This window comes from Homo sapiens, chromosome 2, assembly GCF_000001405.40.
Source record: "Homo sapiens chromosome 2, GRCh38.p14 Primary Assembly".
Classification (NCBI taxonomy): Eukaryota; Metazoa; Chordata; class Mammalia; order Primates; family Hominidae; genus Homo; species Homo sapiens.
In genome coordinates, this window is record NC_000002.12 from 134,194,964 (window position 1) to 134,213,934 (window position 18,971).

The 18,971-nt window shown below is 41.7% G+C and overlaps 1 protein-coding gene across 17 annotated transcripts in view, besides 2 other annotated features; it reads left to right on the forward strand.

Annotated features, from left to right (window-relative positions):
• Nucleotides 1–18,971, forward strand: part of MGAT5 (alpha-1,6-mannosylglycoprotein 6-beta-N-acetylglucosaminyltransferase) — a 334,687-nt gene that overhangs the window by 75,029 nt on the left and 240,687 nt on the right. The gene's annotated exons all lie outside the window — the stretch shown is intronic.
• Nucleotides 8,166–8,667: an enhancer, noted in NCBI's record as "NANOG hESC enhancer chr2:134960700-134961201 (GRCh37/hg19 assembly coordinates)". NCBI's record gives its function as "activates a minimal SCP1, AML or CMV promoter by ChIP-STARR-seq in primed H9 embryonic stem cells {active_cell/tissue: H9 hESC(primed)}" and the evidence as "EXISTENCE:reporter gene assay evidence [ECO:0000049][PMID:30033119]".
• Nucleotides 11,655–11,949: a silencer, noted in NCBI's record as "tiled region #5769; HepG2 Repressive non-DNase unmatched - State 15:Elon". NCBI's record gives its function as "represses a minimal TATA promoter and a strong SV40 promoter by Sharpr-MPRA in HepG2 cells {active_cell/tissue: HepG2}" and the evidence as "EXISTENCE:reporter gene assay evidence [ECO:0000049][PMID:27701403]".

Here is an 18,971-nt window from a genome sequence, read left to right on the forward strand (position 1 = left end):
TGTAGTCTGAGTGGATTGTTCAGACTTAAAAGGTCCAGCAGCATTTTATTTGTGACTGGCTGTGAAAGTCACATACCTATTTTATTTTTATGGCCTCTGATCTCAAATATCCCCCAGAACACAGTCGGCATCCATATAATGCATAGTGGAGGTTGTTAACCTCCAGGACTGAAACACCATTTGGAATATTCCTGTGAACAGTTTGGATTCCTTCAGGTTCCTAAACCAATGGCTCATTTCTCACCCACCTAAGAGGGTGACTTGAATCTGAATTAGCAGGTACTGTGTTAGACTTCAAACCTTATTAGTCATAAACAAATTTAATACTCCTTTACATTTTTAACTCAGAAAAAAGATTCAAGTGTGAATTTTCTGTTTCTAGACAAGGATTTATCTTCTCAAAAGTTCTGAAATCGCCTTTCAGTTTTAGTCTAGGCATTCTGTTGAACAATTCTTATGTTTTTATCTGCTTAAGTTGGAGTATACTTTCCTAGAATTATCCTAGAAATGATAAGAAAGATCTAAAGCTTTAAATTCTGGAGTCTGAAATATCCCATAATACCCTGTTTTTATCTCCCATATCGGCTGCAGCAGGTGGTTTCATAATTTATGTACGTAGGTTTCCGTTTGCTTCACTAGGCTACTTGTGGATGAGTGTCCTTTGGCCTTACTCATTTTTTAATTCCTAGTACCTACTGCATTAAGTGAATCTCATTGTAAAGTTCACCTAGCGCCTTTTTAACGTCTATAATCTTTTCTGTGTTTGATGTCTGGTGTGCGTGAGCCTGTGTTTTAGGAAGAACTTGGAAAAACTTCTTAATGGCTGGGTAATCTTATTTTCCGTAGTGGATTTTATTTGTGACAATTGTATTAAGAAATGGACTTTATTCTGTGTGCTGTGCTGGAGAATGTACTGGAAGACCAGAGGGGTCTAGGCTTTGCAGTGCCTATAACTGGCTTGTGATCTCCAGCAAGTCACTTAATATATCTGAGTGTCTAGAACAAATGGTCTAGAAAACCCCATTCCAAAAATTCCAGGGTAAAAAGTCAGGATGATCCTCATGAAACTAAAAGCAACTTTTTCCCCAACATATTATTCAAGGTGTAGTTCCCTGGAGGCTCCTCTGTAGCACTCTGGACATGGTGCTCTTCGGAAGTTGAATTTGCTCATTGCCTCTGTTGTTTCTTAACCATTAGTTAGACATTTAGTCTCTATGCCAAGCTGTAAACAAGTTAGCAGAAGTGGAAATTTTTGTGGAGCATAGAATTAATTGGTTTGGATATGCCTGTGCTTGGGAATTTACCTATTGTTGGTGTTTGAAAGTATATTTTTCCCCTTTCTTTGAAACGATTTTAGGCCGTTGCTTCTGGTACTCAAGTACCAGTATGGAGGGTCTGAATGTGTGGTATATGGCCTTTTCTTTCAGATCTTAAGGCTTAAAAAAAAAAAAAACTATGGATCCAAGGGAGCTTTTTAAAACACTCTTTAAAATACGTGTTTTGTTTTCTATTTAATGTAGGATTCATTTTCAAAGCAAAGTGATCATTTAAAAATATGACAGCCCAGATTTGTTAATGAGCTAGCAAATGGTTGCTGTTAAGTGCAAAATTGTTTTCCCATAAGGTTCAACTCCTAATGATAGTCGATGCTTGTAAGTGACATGGATCTTTAGCTCCGCTTTTATAGTTTAGAGCAAGCTTGTCCAGACTGCGGGCCACCTGTGGCCCAGGACGGCTTTGAATGCGGCCCAACACAAATTTGTAAAGTTTCTTAAAAAATGGAATTTTTTTTTAGCTCATCAGGTTTCCTTACTGTTAGTGTATTTTATGTGTGGCCCAAGACAGTTCTTCTAGTGCGGCCCTTTGGTGAAGCCAAAACATTGGCTGCCCCTAGTTTAAAGGCTATGTCTCCTATCTCATATTTTAATAGGCTAAGTTGTACTAGTTTAACAGGAATATGTGTGTTTGATTTACAAGGGGATTTCCTAAAGTTGTGGCCTCTGCCTTTGAATTTTCAACTACTTTAAAAAATACTCTTAAGGACAACCTTAACACAGTTCAATGATTTCTTAATTAGTTCATCAAATATTTATTGAGTTTTTACTGTGCCAGGTACTGGGATGTATGTGGTGGATGGTATGGGGGGTGGTCAGGGATACAAAGATGAAAAACTGCTTCTGCCTTTAGGAACTCTGCAGATTGGTGGGTTGGCAGGTATGTATGCCCCAATATACTTCAGTCAATATTTCAAAGTCTTCCAAGCCCTTAGGAGTTGGAACATTTTTACGTTTGAACTTGACCGTGATGTTGTGGAATTTTCTAGCTCAGGAAGGGCCTTCTAGGCAGGAGAAACAGCATTAGCATTACGAGGTGATGCTAGACCTGTTCCAGAAATTGAGTAATTTATATGAGAGAGTCTGGTAGAAAATTCAATTCAAAAGGTCGGTTGAGACATTGAGTGACTGGAAAAGCAAAGCTTGTATTTTCAGGTGGATCTAGCACTTAAAAATTGGGATTTGAGATTAAAGAGAGATTTCTTGAACCTCCTGGTATAACTTGCTATCCTTTGGAGTCAAAGACGATGATGTCGGCCATCTTGTTAGGCTAAGGAGGAAAAGGAAAGTATGAAGGATTTGCTTCTTGATCAGTAGTTCTTAGTCATGTTCCATGTAGGACGGAAAATCTTTGTATTAAGGAACATGTTCAGCTGCTGTAACAGAAACCTCAAACAATACTGATTTAAACAAGACAGTTTAGTTTCCTTTTACTTTAAAGTCAGCTAGAATGGCATTTCTGCCTGCTAAAGTTATAGGGGGCTGGGCTCCTTCCTTCTGGTTGCCCTGCCACCCCCAGTGTTGCTCTCCTTTGTATGCCCTGAAATAAAGGAGAAAAAAAGGGTAGGAGGAAGGGCAAGGAGGAATGATAACCCAGAGGTTGGGTAGATTTTTTTCTACTCCTGTTCCACTTGGCAAAATATAATCACTCTGCCACTCAGCTGCAAGAGATAATTATACTCTGTAGTGAGATACTCTGCAAAATTCCTGCTCCTATGGAAGAAAGGGAGAATAGCTTTGGGGGAGCAATAAGGATCCAGTATATCCCATTTGGGCCTTGTCATCTGTACCAGAAGCTACTGGTAACTAGAAATGAATTTTTAAGCCTGTATAGCCAAGAAGGGTAGCAATAGTCCTTCTTCTTCTGGTTCTTCATATTGAAAAATGAAACTGATTTTATAAGCTGTGTCTGCCTCTGCTAGCTCAGTGAGCCTGTTCACCAGCCCTCAGTTGCCCTCCCTGAACTTTGCCATCATAGGCAACCCATGTGCACTGTGGAAGGTGCACTTTCCTTGCTGTCAAGCTCTGTGTAGCTCTGAAGATCACCAGCATTCTGATCCAGTGTTCTTCAGACTAGCAAGCAGCTTCAGAATTACCAAGCAAGGAGCAGGAAGTTGGCTGGGAGATGCCTTTTACCCTTGAGTCTAGCTGGGTGTGTGAGGCTTGGCTGTTTTGGCCCATCTGGTCTCCATCCAAGGTGGCTGAGTTAAGATCTTTTGGGCATTGTGCTACAAAGCAGCTTGTCAAGCTGGAATTCCGTTGGTGTAGGGGAGCATAGTCAACCTACTCTGTCCATGTTCCTTATGGCAGCTGCCCCCAAACCTGCCTAGTGGTCAAAACTACCTGGAGAAGACTAATGGGTTCCTATGATATATTGTAGTGGATCAAGTAGTGCACGTTCTCAGGGAGGTGCCCAGGAGTGGACTTTTAAGCAAACACCTTCTCAGGTCTGATCATGGGCCCACTTTGGGAACCACTGCTTTGCATTCTTCATCTTACTACTTATAACTTTTGGTAACTGCATCATGTTTCCCTTCCTTTGAGGGGTTTATATTACAGCTTAACTTGTAAATATTAGGTATTTAGTTGTTTCTGACACTCAGCAAGTATAAAAGAGGCCAAAGTTTATTTTTTGAATGAATGGTATTTGTGTGTTGTTACATAGCTCCCTTGAAATGTATTCTTGTGGCACATTGTCTTAAAACATTTTGGTTAACAGAAGGTAAAAATTAGCCCACCAGGAAATGCTGCATTTCCATTTCAGAAAAACTAAATGCTTCCATATTTTCCAGAGTTGATGATAGATTTGAAAGTAAACATTAAACTCCATTCTGGACTTGGTATGTTAAGCTGCTATTTCTTGGGGAAATCTCATGTATATAATTTGACTAAATTCTTGGAGTAACTGTCTTCCCTTCCTTTCTTAATTGCACATCTTTGCCTCTCCTACTCCTCTGATAAGAGGGCAGTGTGTTTTCCTGTTCCGTGATGTGACTCAGAAGCATGTACATATATCCCAGAAGACAGCCTCCCGGGATGGAGCTGAAGTCTCGGAGGGAGTCCTGGCAGAGGGTGCAAGCTTTGGGACCAGCTGTGGACTGAAAGCTGTTCTTTGTGTCACCTGTGGACTCTCAGTTCTCTGGTGGAGGCTGAAATTTTAGGGCTGGCTGCTGGCTGCAACTGTATTTTGCTTGCCTGCTCCTTTTTTTTTTTTCTTCTAAAAACAGTGGCCTGAACCTCCTTCCACTATTTGTTCTGTGAGGATGGAGCATTAAATCCCTGCTTAGAAAACAGTGATCTTTGCCTTGTTCTATCGGCTGCTCCAACAGCTCTCTGTCAGTATTCCATGATTTTTTTCTCTGACTTTTGGATGACTTGAATACTCATTTTGTGGGTTCATTCTCCTAGTTGTTTAGAATCATTTGCTTTTTCTTTGTTTCCTTTATTATTTGAACCTTCAACTGTGGGAAGCTTACCGAAAAGTGTTTTGCTTGGGAAATGCTCCCCCTGCATATGGCTACTATCCATTGTTGCTCATGAGTTCTGTTGGAGTTTGAGGGAAGCAGATACTGATTGGTGCTCTGTATGTGGAGGTTGTGCAAATGGCAAGAATGAACATGCTTCTTGCCTGCAAGAAGCTTCAGTGGTCCAGTGAAAAAATAAAACCCACAAACAGTCTTAAAATCATTGATTAGAGGTACAATTTTGGTAAACACCTGAGAATTTTTCTCTGTCTCAGGTAAAGGATGTCATGTTGAAATGAGGAATTAATTACGTGCAGATAGTAAGTCTTTTATTTGGCAATGAGGACTATTTTAGCTGGTGTCCCTGCCTCCCTACCCCGCCCCCCAATCCCCCCATTCCCCCCCTGCCCCGCCAAGGCTGAGAAAGTCACAGCTTTTGGGAAGTATTCCAGAAATATCTGACTGACTGACCTTGGTAAGGACACCATAGTGGTCACGCTTGAGGGGTTTAAACAGATTTTCTGCCAAGGGAATATAGTCTCTAGCCTGAATACTTCAGACAGGGATGTCTGCAAGTCCCCTGACATCTTCCTTCCTTTGTAGATTCTTCTGGAAATTTCTCTCATGTCTGCAGTGATGCTGCCTTCACAGGAGCACAGCTGTTCTTCCTGGCTGATGGCAGTTGTTGCCAATTAATGGTGTTACAAGTCTCTTTTTCTTCTTTTCTCTGTTGAGCCTCTTTGTCCTTCACTCCCTAAATGTAATCAGAGAAACCCTATTTGGTGTAGACTGAGTGTCTTTCTATATAACCTCTATTAGCATTAGCCTTTCTCCATTTATTCACTCATTCAAGGAATAGTTGAGCACTTAGTGTGCCCTAAACTCTGTTTTAATCACGAAGTATGGAGTGAGCAAAACAGATGAGTTCTCTGCTTCTGTGGAGCCTATGTTCTGGTAAACGAAATAAACAGGATTTGCTGGGCATGGTGGCTCAAGTCTGTGATCCTAGCGTCTTGGGAGGCCAAGATGGAAGGATCACTTGAGGACAGGCATTCAAGACCACCCTGGGCAACATGGTGACACTCCGTCTCTACAAAAATAAAAATAAAAAAAATTAGCCCAGTGTTGTGGTATGCACCTGTAGTCCCAGCTATTCAGAAGGCTGAGGCAGGAGGATTGCTTGGTCTTGCTCTGTCTCCTGATTGCTATGTGACACGATCATAGCTCACTGCAGCCTTGAACTCCTGGGCTCAAGCCATCTTCCTGCCTCAGCCTCCTGAGTAGCTGGGACTACAGGTGTGTGCCACTACTCCCTGCTTGTCTTGTGTTTAATCATTCAAATACCTTTATTAAGGATGCCCTCTGTGCTTGATCTTACTTCGGGGGCTATTTCCTAAAAATATAATCTGGAGAGGCTGTGGTCTTTGCCCTCTGGAGGGCCGCTTTGGTTTAGTTGAGACAGGTTGGGCTGTGAACCAATAGCTATAGTCGAGTGTTAAATAAGGCAAAAGTAGGTCCAGGGGTTGGTAGGAGCAGGAAGAACTATCTTTTGTTCTCTTTGAGCTGGTGGACTGGAGTATGGGGTTGGGATATTGTAATCCTCTTATGCTTTGGCCATAATAAATTATTTTTCTGTATCTTTTCTATTTAAAAAGCCTTTTTCTTTTCATACTGTTTGACATTAGGGAACCAGTAGATGGGAGGGAAGATGGGATAATGGGGGTGTGGGGAGTGAGTAATTAGATTCCCCTTCAGCAGTCTCAGAAAAGAAGTCAGCATCTTCCACAGCACCGGGTCAGCTTGTGATGGTTCCAGACAGGGTGAAACAATTTTTATGATTTGTCTTCAGATCCTTTTCTCCTTTCACCTTCGGGGCGACCTGTGCTTGTCAGATCCTCCACGGCAGTTGTTATTGTCAAGTGAGGTAACAGTGGCACAATGCTAATGAGAAGGCAGAATGGTTGTCCAGGGTGGCCTTGGTGGCCGCCAGGCGCCAGCATCTTTATCAGCTCTGACATGCTGCTCAGAAGGCCAGCTCTCTGGGCCAAGCGCTGCTTTTTTTTTTTTTTTTTTTTTTTTTTTAATTGAGAGGAGTGACTATCCCTCCAAAAGCTGCTGATTAGCACTCTGGCTTGAAAGGCTCCATGCTAATATGTAGTTTGCTACAAAGATGCCAGGGTTTGGTATGGTCACTAAATTATTTTCCCTTCTCTGATAATTGGCTGGTTGATACTAATGAAGAGATGCAACTATTTTCATTATATTATTATTGAATACCCTTGAAACCACCCACCCCAAGAACTTGGACTTATCAGTAACTCATATCTATCTATGACATCCTCTCTTCTTCCATCCTCTGCCACCTGACCCAGCAGCCACTATTCAAAACTTCATTTTCTTGTTCAGCTTCTCTGTCTTTTGCCGACTGCTATGGTCTGAATGTTTGTGTCCCTCCAAAATTCATATGTTGAAATCTAATCCCCAACCTGATAGTGTTAAGAGGTGTGGGGCCTTTCAGGCCTCTGATTAAATCAGAGGGAGGAGCCCTTGTGAATGGGGTTCATGCCCTTATAAAAGAAGCTGCAGGGATTTTGTTTGCTCCTTCTGCCATTTGAGTACACAGCTAGAAATGGCATCTATGAAGCAGACAGTAGGCCCTTACCAGATGCCAAATTTGTTGGCGCCTTGATCTTGGATGTTCCAGCCTCCAGAGCTATGAGCAGTAAATTTCTGTTGTTCACAAATTGCGCAGTCTAAAGTGTTTCGTTTTACTAGGCTGAACAGACTGAGGCACTGGCCCAGGGTTTAGCATTCAGAAGTGTTGCCCCAGGCATCAGCCTCTGGCTGCCAGCCTCTACAGCCCAGCTCACTTTGTGGGGATGGGTGGGGTAGGAATGTCCTTAGGGACTTGTGAGATAAGCAGTGTCTTCAGAGCATGTTTTAGCCAGGATCTTTTTAAAGACATTCTTTAATCCTATACGGCCAATTGTCTCCTTTTAACCACTATTTTCTAATGCTATCTTTACCGTGCAGAATGCAAGTCACAGATAATGTAACCCAACAACAAACACAATTCTCCCCCAAAAAATCAATGCAATTTCCTAACTGTAATGTAAAAGGAAAAAAAAAGGAAAGTCATGCGGAGTCAAACAGGCATTTCATCATGTAAATGCGTGGGCCCACCTGTCCTAAGACAAAATGAAATAGCCAGATCTTTGTACCTGTTGGCAAAATCACCTATAAATGCAACATCTCCAAATACAGGATTTATTTGGTGACTCATATTACAGGAGTGGCTCTATCATCAATAATATAACTTTTTTTATGGTTAATAACTTGTAAAGTTCAGAACAGAAAGTATGTTCTTAGCTCATTATACATGGTAGTTGTATTCTGGGACAATTTTAAATGTGTTAAAACTATGCAAAAATTAGGTTATCCCCATAGGTTTTCCTGACCAGTGGGGTCTTAGTGTGCACAGAAGGTCAGAAACCCCTGGGTGCTCATTTACAATGCAGATTTTAGTCCCATCCTTGAGATTCAGCAAGTGTGAGGTAGGGCTTTGGAATCTGCATTTTTAATGAGCACCCCAGGTTATCCCAGTGCAGTTAGTGGGTCCAAGGATAAGTGGTTTTTCACTTAAGCTAAGGATCAGTCACAGGATGACTAATCAGATTTTTGGTGAGGCTTGGTAAGGAACATTTCTAGTGCCATTGATTTTTACATTAAATGTTTTTTTTCCCCAAAAGCTCAGGTGATGGGACATTCTGAAATCCTAGCACTCCCTAGGGTTTTCTAGGGCATGAGGGTGTGCGGAGGCTGAATGGAAGAGAGGACGGGGCTGATCGGGTCTCCATACACAACTCCTTGGTGCTTGTGACCTTGAGCAAGTCACTCCACCAGAGCCACGTTGTGACTCTTGGGGGCCCAAGACTGGGTTTAGTAGACCTCTTCCTCCATTTAAAATAAAAAATTATATTTTCATGACTGTGTCCAGGATGAATTGTATTCATTTTTTCCTTCTGACTTTAAAAGAAAGAAAATTCTCATGGGCCCCTAAAAGTTTGGTGGGCCTTTAGGCACTTGTTTAAGTTGGCCTCACACCTCTCTGGACATTCATTTCTTCACCTGAAAAATGTGATGGTAGCTACTTTGCAGGTATGTTGTGGGGATTTGATCTGATGGGAGTAATTCCCTCTGAGTACTTACTACCTGGCACAAGCTAGGAGTTATCATACATGGGCAAAGAGAAAGCATTCCATTTAACAGTGACCCTTTGTACAGGTACTTATAAAAGGATCAGATCTGTCTAATCACTGTGTAATTTTTCTTAATTAACCATGCTGTTTACATGGAGATTCTTTTCCCTCCTAATCTTCATTCTTATTCATGCTAGCGCTCATTTCATGCATCCTGGTGATTCCCACCATCTGTAGGGTTTGACAGCTCTCCCACCCTTTGGGAGGATGGTGCAGTCACGTATTCATCTATTAAAGGAGAATGAATGGAGATGCACTGGGCCTTACTGCTGTTGGATTTCTTAATCTCAGTACGAGAAATTCTAATTTCTGCCTAAGTCCCTGTTCTGTACTGTGCCCCTTTCTTCCTTGGCTAATGAAATTAGCCAAGTCTCTCAAGTTGACTTGAGAGACTCAAAAGAAAACTTGGTAGTTAGCAAGTGGTGTGATGTCCTGGGGTTAAGTGAGGGCGTTGGCTAGCCAGAACTATGATGGAGCAGAAACAAGATGTCATGGAAGGTAAGAGAGCTGGCCAGTTGGTAGAGGGGAGAATTGGGCACATAAAAAGAAAAAACAGATGCTGGGAGAGGGAGTGAGAATGAAGGGCAGTACCCCAGGAAGGAGATTTTGGTCTCTTTCCTGTAGGAACCCAGGAAATCACTATTCCTTAAAACCAAGGAGATTGACTAACACTGTACCTTTTTAAGAGGACTTGATATTGCTCTTCAATTGTAAAACCATTCAGTCAGCTTGTGAACAGGTATCTCTCTGGGGATACTATGGGAAAAGCCCTGCCCTCAGTGAGCATATAGTTTGCTGGAGGGGAGTCACACTCCATCGACAAACAATTAAGACTGCTTCAGGTCTTCCAAAGTGTTCTGAAAAGACAAAGACAGGCAGGAAAAAAGGGTGGTGAGTGGTTGCTTTTGGTAGGCTAGGGTGATAACTGAAAAGTTGCAGGTGAGGCTTCAGGGAAGGAAAGGATGATAATACATAGACCTGCAGGAAGAGTGTTTACAGCAGAAGGAGCAGCAAGTGCAACGGCCATGGGTCAGGAACAAGCTTCGGCATGTTCAGGAGAGGACAGAAGGCCAGAGTTGTGTGCATGGCATGTGAGTAAGAAAGAGAGTAGGAGAGAGGTCAAGGGGTAGGCAGTGGCCAGACCATGTAGGTAATGGTCCAGTTTGGAGTTTGCTTGTAGCCAGAAGCCCCTGATAATTTTATACCTGTGAGTGACATCCTCTGACATTTACACTTCAGAAAGATGGCTTTTAGCCCTGCGGAGGGTGGGGCTAGAGCAGGCAGGAAGACGAGCTAGGAGCCTATTGCTATAATGTGGGTGGGAGGTGAGGGTAGCTTGGAATGAGATTGAAATAGTGGAGATAGTGAAAATAGATTTGGGGTACATTTTGGAGGCAGAGCTGGTAGATACTGATGGATTAAATATGAGGGGTGGGAAGGAGTGAAGAGAACGTACACATGAGGGCTTAAGGGTCTTGCTGGAGCAGCCGGAGTGGGAGATGCTGTTTGCTGAGCTGCTTTGTGCGTCTGTCAGAAAGCAGCGGCTCTCTTTCGGGCCTGCTAAGCTGGGGATACATACTAAACACTGAAGTGGAGCTCATGAGTGGCACATGGATGTTTGGATCTGGACCTTGTTCAGTTGAGGGGTCAAGGATAGATACATGAATTTGAGAGCCTCCACTTACAGTTGGCATTTGCAGTCGTGGGACAGGGTACACTTGCTGAGGGAGAGAATATGGATAGAGAAGAGATTTGAGGACAGAGCCCAGGGGTGTCCCAACAAGGTGAGTTCTGGGAGAGAAGTCAGCTGGGGAATTGCTTCAGTGTCCTGAAGGCAGATCAATGAGAAGGAGCAGTTCTATAAATAGAAATCCCTGCAGAGATGTTAGAAAACCAGCATTACAGCATGCCAAGAGATAGAATAGTGATTAATAACTGCTTAAAAGTGTATGTTCTGCCACTGGAATGCTAGGAAAGCTACCCAAAAAGGCTGTTCCTAATTGAGGAATATGGTTCTTAAATGTTTACATTGCCTTATATTTGTGATAGGGATTATTGGCTTTGTGAGCAAAGCTCTTTGACATTTGTGGATGGAGTGTACTCATTATTGAGAGGAATTTTCTGAAATGAATGTCAGTTCCTTTTTTCCCCTAAGCTTTGCTTTGAATTACTATACAGTTTACTTAAGAAACCTGTGATCAGCGAGAGGAAAGAGAAGTGATTTCTGAAGCTTCTAATGGCCACTTCCTGCTGAGTCTTAGCATTCTATCCTGTCAAGTATGCTAATGGGAGAAGGAGCAACATCTCTGGATACAAAGGATCGCCAGGATGCTGATGTGAATAGTAGGGGTGAGCTAGCTCTGTCCTCATGCCCAGACCTTGTCCTGATCTGTAGCACACATTTGAGAGACAGGAGCTGTATTAATTGCCTATTGCTGCTGTAACAAATTATTACACTTAGTGGCTTAAAAGAACATGTTTATTTTATGGTTCTGGAGGTAAGAAATCTGAAACGGCTCTGTAGTAGGCTAACACCCTCCAGGTGTTAGGCTGTAACTCCTGAAACGTGGATGTAGCCTTATGTGGAATAAGGGTCTTTGCAGATGTGATTAAGCACCTTGAGATAGGGCAATTATCGTGGATTGTCAAGATGGGCCCTAAATGCCACCTCAAATGTTCTCCTCACAGAGATGCAGAGGAGGATTACTCAGAAGAGAAGGCAGTGTGACCACAGAAGTAGGAATTAGCATGCTGTGGCCACAAGCCAAAAAATACATGCAGCCACCAGAAGCTGGAAGAGGCAAGGAACCGACTGTCCCTAGAGCCTCTGGAGGGAGCACGGCCCTGTCCTGCCTACCCCTTCGCTTCTACCCAGTGATACCAATTTCAGACATCTGGAGTCTGGAACTGTGAGAGAAGAGTTTTCTGTTGTTTTAAGCCACTAAGTATAGGTAATTATTAATGACAATTTGTTATAGCAGCAATAGGGAACCAATACAGAGTCTCACTGGGCTAATCCAGTGTCAGCAGGACTGTGTTCCTTTCAGGAGGCTCTTAGAATCTGTTTTCTTGACTCTTCCAGCTTCTAGAGTCTGTCCACATTCCTTCACTCATGGCTTCTTATGTCTTCAAGCCAGTCTTTGACACTTTTTAGATAGTGATTCTTCTGCTTCCCTCTTCCGCATTTAAGGACGCTGTGATTGCATTAGACCCACCTTGATAATTATCTTAAGGTCAGCTGATTAGCTACCTTAACTCCATCTGCATCCTTAATTGCCCTTTGCCATGTAAGGTGTAACATACTCAGATTCTGGGGCTATGACAGAGACATCTTTAGGAGCTGTTATTTTGCCTTAAAAAGGAGGCAATTATTTAAGTATATAAGGTGAATAGTTAGGTCTTTCTCTCCAGGAAACCTAACTTGTCATTCAGCGGTTACCATGCATGGGTATCTTCTTCCAATTGCCTGAGCCAGCCAGACTTTCATGTTTGAGCATTCAGATTGGGCTTTATTTCTCAAGGCATGTGGCAAACCTCACAATGACACTGAAAGGTTAAAAAAAAAAAAAAGAAAAATACAGTTGCTTACCAGAGATACTGATCGTTTACTTCTGCTAGGATCAGAAGAGATTTTAAGAGCTTAGTGGCAAATCCTGACCTTGGAAAGCCCTGCCTTACCAGGGGTCTTGTGCAGAGGTGTTATTGAGATCAGACACCAGGTTGCAGTGATATGTATCATTTGTGCTCTTGCCATCTACCGCCCCCTGCCTGCCACCAAGCCAACCTCAGGAGGTCTTTGCCCAGAGGCTTGGCAAGATGACTTTCCACAACTCAGGGAGGTTTTAAGGAGAGGGATTAGCATTGACTCTGATACCTTGTTGGTTTGTGTGTCATAACTTAAAGGTCCATGCTTCTCAGCTGGCCAGTGGTCACACCTGATTGGAAGGTGAAAAGACTTTGCGTTCTACTTCCAAAAGTTTTCACATTTGTCACACTGTCCTAACCCTATCAGCTTTGTTGCTATCATTGTAGTGAGGCCTGCCTAGGGATGATAAGTGAAGGATCCCCAAGGACACATTAAGACAGCACATAGAATCAGAGTTTTCAGACTCTTGGCCGAACTTTTTTTTTTTTTAAGCAGACCAGTATTTTCCAAACTTTGGACTTAGTTTCCACCATATTCACGTTACCACCTATACTTGTTACTTAACATATTTTCTTCAGTTTATCCTGCATCAACTCATTTATTTTAATTTGGTCTCATTCTAATTGACAGCATATAGCAGCTTATGAATTTGATGTGCGTATGCATGTTGCAACAAATACTTAACTATTAGTATGTATGCTACGGTGTAAATGTACCACACTCAGAAAAAACCTTATTAGACCATCCTGACTGTTTAGGAAGCTTGGTGCCCAAGGGAAATAGTCTTTGACCATCAGCCAGAATTTGGTTAGTTTCAGCAGATAAGAGAGTAGCTGGTAAGCTACTTAGGAACATTTTAAGTAGAATATGTGAGAAATGAGGATAGGATATGCCTTTATTCCCAGCAGGCAAAAACATGCATTTATTTACTATAGTTGTTATAATATAAATAACATAGATGCATATGTATACCAGAAACATGGTCTTTATCCCATTTGTGGATAAAAGCTAAGGAAGAACTTGTATTACTTATGTATGAAATGCCCAAGGGAACAGAGCCTAGACAAGTTCTGAAACTTAATATCTAGGGAATGTAAACATTTAATAAAACATTACCTTACCCACCTATGTGGCCTTTCTTGGCTGGACTTCTAAAAAATTTTGTTTTTATACCATATTCTTTGTTTTAGGAAAGCATTATCTTACTCCCAGCCTCTGGGGAAAATAAATAACCGAGAGAATCAATAAGGAGATGCCCCAGTGTTGTGGTCAGTGTCTGTTTTTCCCCAGTGTTCTGGGAGCAGGGTTTCCTGGTGTTCTGTTACATCAGCATGAAGGAGGCCTTGTGCATGGGAAGACCCAGACCTCACTTCCCCTGTGTCACTTGCAGTCACTTGTCTTCCTCTTTTGTTTTTGTGTATTTACCGGGGATGAGGAGGTGGATGGGCAGAGGGATTGTATATAGAACTGGCTTATTTTTTTTTTATTTTTTTTTTTTTTTTTATTTTTTTTTTTATTTTTTAATTATTATTATTATTATACTCTAAGTTTTAGGGTACATGTGCACATTGTGCAGGTTAGTTACATATGTATACATGTGCCATGCTGGTGCGCTGCACCCACTAACGTGTCATCTAGCATTAGGTATATCTCCCAATGCTATCCCTCCCCACTCCCCCGACCCCACCACAGTCCCCAGAGTGTGATATTCCCCTTCCTGTGTCCATGTGATCTCATTGTTCAATTCCCACCTATGAGTGAGAATATGTGGTGTTTGGTTTTTTGTTCTTGCGATAGTTTACTGAGAATGATGGTTTCCAATTTCATCCATGTCCCTACAAAGGACATGAACTCATCATTTTTTATGGCTGCATAGTATTCCATGGTGTATATGTGCCACATTTTCTTAATCCAGTCTATCATTGTTGGACATTTGGGTTGGTTCCAAGTCTTTGCTATTGTGAATAATGCCGCAATAAACATACGTGTGCATGTGTCTTTATAGCAGCATGATTTATAGTCATTTGGGTATATACCCAGTAATGGGATGGCTGGGTCAAATGGTATTTCTAGTTCTAGATCCCTGAGGAATCGCCACACTGACTTCCACAATGGTTGAACTAGTTTACAGTCCCACCAACAGTGTAAAAGTGTTCCTATTTCTCCACATCCTCTCCAGCACCTGTTGTTTCCTGACTTTTTAATGATTGCCATTCTAACTGGTGTGAGATGATATCTCATAGTGGTTTTGATTTGCATTTCTCTGATGGCCAGTGATGATGAGCATTTTTTCATGTGTTTTTTGGCTGCATAAATGTCTTCTTTTGAGAAGTGTCTGTTCATGTCCTTCGCCCACTTTTTGATGGGGTTGTTTGTTTTTTTCTTGTAAATTTGTTTGAGTTCATTGTAGATTCTGGATATTAGCCCTTTGTCAGATGAGTAGGTTGCGAAAATTTTCTCCCATGTTGTAGGTTGCCTGTTCACTCTGATGGTAGTTTCTTTTGCGGTGCAGAAGCTCTTTAGTTTAATTAGATCCCATTTGTCAATTTTGGCTTTTGTTGCCATTGCTTTTGGTGTTTTGGACATGAAGTCCTTGCCCACGCCTATGTCCTGAATGGTAATGCCTAGGTTTTCTTCTAGGGTTTTTATGGTTTTAGGTCTAACGTTTAAATCTTTAATCCATCTTGAATTGATTTTTGTATAAGGTGTAAGGAAGGGATCCAGTTTCAGCTTTCTACATATGGCTAGCCAGTTTTCCCAGCACCATTTATTAAATAGGGAATCCTTTCCCCATTGCTTGTTTTTCTCAGGTTTGTCAAAGATCAGATAGTTGTGGATATGCGGCATTATTTCTGAGGGCTCTGTTCTGTTCCATTGATCTATATCTCTGTTTTGGTACCAGTACCATGCTGTTTTGGTTACTGTAGCCTTGTAGTATAGTTTGAAGTCAGGTAGTGTGATGCCTCCAGCTTTGTTCTTTTGGCTTAGGATTGACTTGGCGATGCGGGCTCTTTTTTGGTTCCATATGAACTTTAAAGTAGTTTTTTCCAATTCTGTGAAGAAAGTCATTGGTAGCTTGATGGGGATGGCATTGAATCTGTAAATTACCTTGGGCAGTATGGCCATTTTCACGATATTGATTCTTCCTACCCATGAGCATGGAATGTTCTTCCATTTGTTTGTGTCCTCTTTTATTTCCTTGAGCAGTGGTTTGTAGTTCTCCTTGAAGAGGTCCTTCACATCCCTTGTAAGTTGGATTCCTAGGTATTTTATTCTCTTTGAAGCAATTGTGAATGGGAGTTCACTCATGATTTGGCTCTCTGTTTGTCTGTTGTTGGTGTATAAGAATGCTTGTGATTTTTGTACATTGATTTTGTATCCTGAGACTTTGCTGAAGTTGCTTATCAGCTTAAGGAGATTTTGGGCTGAGACGATGGGGTTTTCTAGATAAACAATCATGTCGTCTGCAAACAGGGACAATTTGACTTCCTCTTTTCCTAATTGAATACCCTTTATTTCCTTCTCCTGCCTGATTGCCCTGGCCAGAACTTCCAACACTATGTTGAATAGGAGCGGTGAGAGAGGGCATCCCTGTCTTGTACCAGTTTTCAAAGGGAATGCTTCCAGTTTTTGCCCATTCAGTATGATATTGGCTGTGGGTTTGTCATAGATAGCTCTTATTATTTTGAAATACGTCCCATCAATACCTAATTTAATGAGAGTTTTTAGCATGAAGGGTTGTTGAATTTTGTCAAAGGCTTTTTCTGCATCTATTGAGATAATCATGTGGTTTTTGTCTTTGGCTCTGTTTATATGCTGGATTACATTTATTGATTTGCGTATATTGAACCAGCCTTGCATCCCAGGGATGAAGCCCACTTGATCATGGTGGATAAGCTTTTTGATGTGCTGCTGGATTCGGTTTGCCAGTATTTTATTGAGGATTTTTGCATCAATGTTCATCAAGGATATTGGTCTAAAATTCTCTTTTTTGGTTGTGTCTCTGCCCGGCTTTGGTATCAGAATGATGCTGGCCTCATAAAATGAGTTAGGGAGGATTCCCTCTTTTTCTATTGATTGGAATAGTTTCAGAAGGAATGGTACCAGTTCCTCCTTGTACCTCTGGTAGAATTCGGCTGTGAATCCATCTGGTCCTGGACTCTTTTTGGTTGGTAAACTATTGATTATTGCCACAATTTCAGAGCCTGTTATTGGTCTATTCAGAGATTCAACTTCTTCCTGGTTTAGTCTTGGGAGAGTGTATGTGTCGAGGAATGTATCCATTTCTTCTAGATTTTCTAGTTTATTTGCGTAGAGGTGTTTGTAGTATTCTCTGATGGTAGTTTGTATTTCTGTGGGATCGGTGGTGATATCCCCTTTATCATTTTTTATTGTGTCTATTTGATTCTTCTCTCTTTTTTTCTTTATTAGTCTTGCTAGCGGTCTATCAATTTTGTTGATCCTTTCAAAAAACCAGCTCCTGGATTCATTGATTTTTTGAAGGGTTTTTTGTGTCTCTATTTCCTTCAGTTCTGCTCTGATTTTAGTTATTTCTTGCCTTCTGCTAGCTTTTGAATGTGTTTGCTCTTGCTTTTCTAGTTCTTTTAATTGTGATGTTAGGGTGTCAATTTTGGATCTTTCCTGCTTTCTCTTGTAGGCATTTAGTGCTATAAATTTCCCTCTACACACTGCTTTGAATGCGTCCCAGAGATTCTGGTATGTGGTGTCTTTGTTCTCGTTGGTTTCAAAGAACATCTTTATTTCTGCCTTCATTTCGTTATGTACCCAGTAGTCATTCAGGAGCAGGTTGTTCAGTTTCCATGTAGTTGAGCGGCTTTGAGTGAGATTCTTAATCCTGAGTTCTAGTTTGATTGCACTGTGGTCTGAGAGATAAGAACTGGCTTATTTTTAACATAACAACATAAAACCCCGTAAAATGATCAACTTGATCTTTGGGTTGCCTCTTGCCCAGCCTTGGGAAAATGTTAAATCAGAGCTCTCTGGAAATTTGGGACAGCTCCAACTTCCTGAAAAATCAAGAATCGAGTTTTCCATGGAAAATGGTGGGAAGAGGTTGGATTTCCCCATACTTTCAGTCTGTTTCCCTCTTCTTCATTGTATTCTTGCACTTCTCCAGAGATAATCCTCTATTATTCAGTTCCAGTGTATCCAACTATTATCTTCCAGAGAGAGGGAAGATATCAGTAAGACCTTGAGACTTGCTTGTCTCCTGAGTGATGGCGTAAGTGAGCCAGCTTGAATGCCGAGCTTCACTGGGCATAGAATGCTGATTTGCTGAAGTTGATGCGTGTGGGAAAATGTTTGTCTCATCTTCTCCTTGACATTGAAATACTGTTTTGCTGTTTGGAAGAGTCAGGTCTGCATAGGCCTTTTGGATATTTGCATTTTATTTTCAGGAAGTCTTTGCTGCTGACTTGGGTAAAAGCATCACTTTGCATGCCCCTCACTTCATTTTCTTAGAGGAAAGAAAGGCAGCCAGATGACAGGCTGGTAACAAATTGGACTATTGGGCTGAATTTGCAGGTTGATAAATAGGTGGCCCAGGTGGTGAAATGAAGTGAAGTTGTGTTCAATCAGATACTGGACTGGCTTTGCAAACGTATTAAACACAGCCAGGTGAGGGAGACTTGGGAGCCCCCCCGCCCCCCACTGCTGCCTTTTAAATCTCATGTTCTAAAATGAAGAGGGTCAGTGTCAAAAATTCTGTTTCTCAAAATACTTGTGACACCAAATGTGGGTGTTTTTTTCCCCTCACACCAATGAATTATCCAACTCTCCAGGTAATAACTGGATGTCCTACAATTCAATTCTGACACTACCGGGAGTTATTGCATACCCTACAAGTTTAGGGCTCAGTCCCACAAAACTGCCCCCACTTCAGACACCAGTCACAAGTCCCATGTTGTTACCTGTACTTCTGACCAATTGGCTGTATATTGAGGGGTTCCTACAACCCCCTCTTCAATTTGATAATTTTCTACAATGGCTCACAAAACTCAGAAACATTTACTTATATTTGCTGGTTTGTTGGAAAGGATATTACCAAGGATACAAATGTTCAGGTGAAGAAGTACATTTGATGAGGTCCAGAAGGGTCCTAAACACAGGAGCCTCTGTCCTTGTGGAGTTGGGGTATGCCACCTTCTTGGCGCATGGTTGTGTTCAGCAACCTGGAAGTTCCCTGAACCCTGTCATGTGGGACTTCATGGAGGCCTCATTATGTAGGGACGATCGATTAAATCAATGT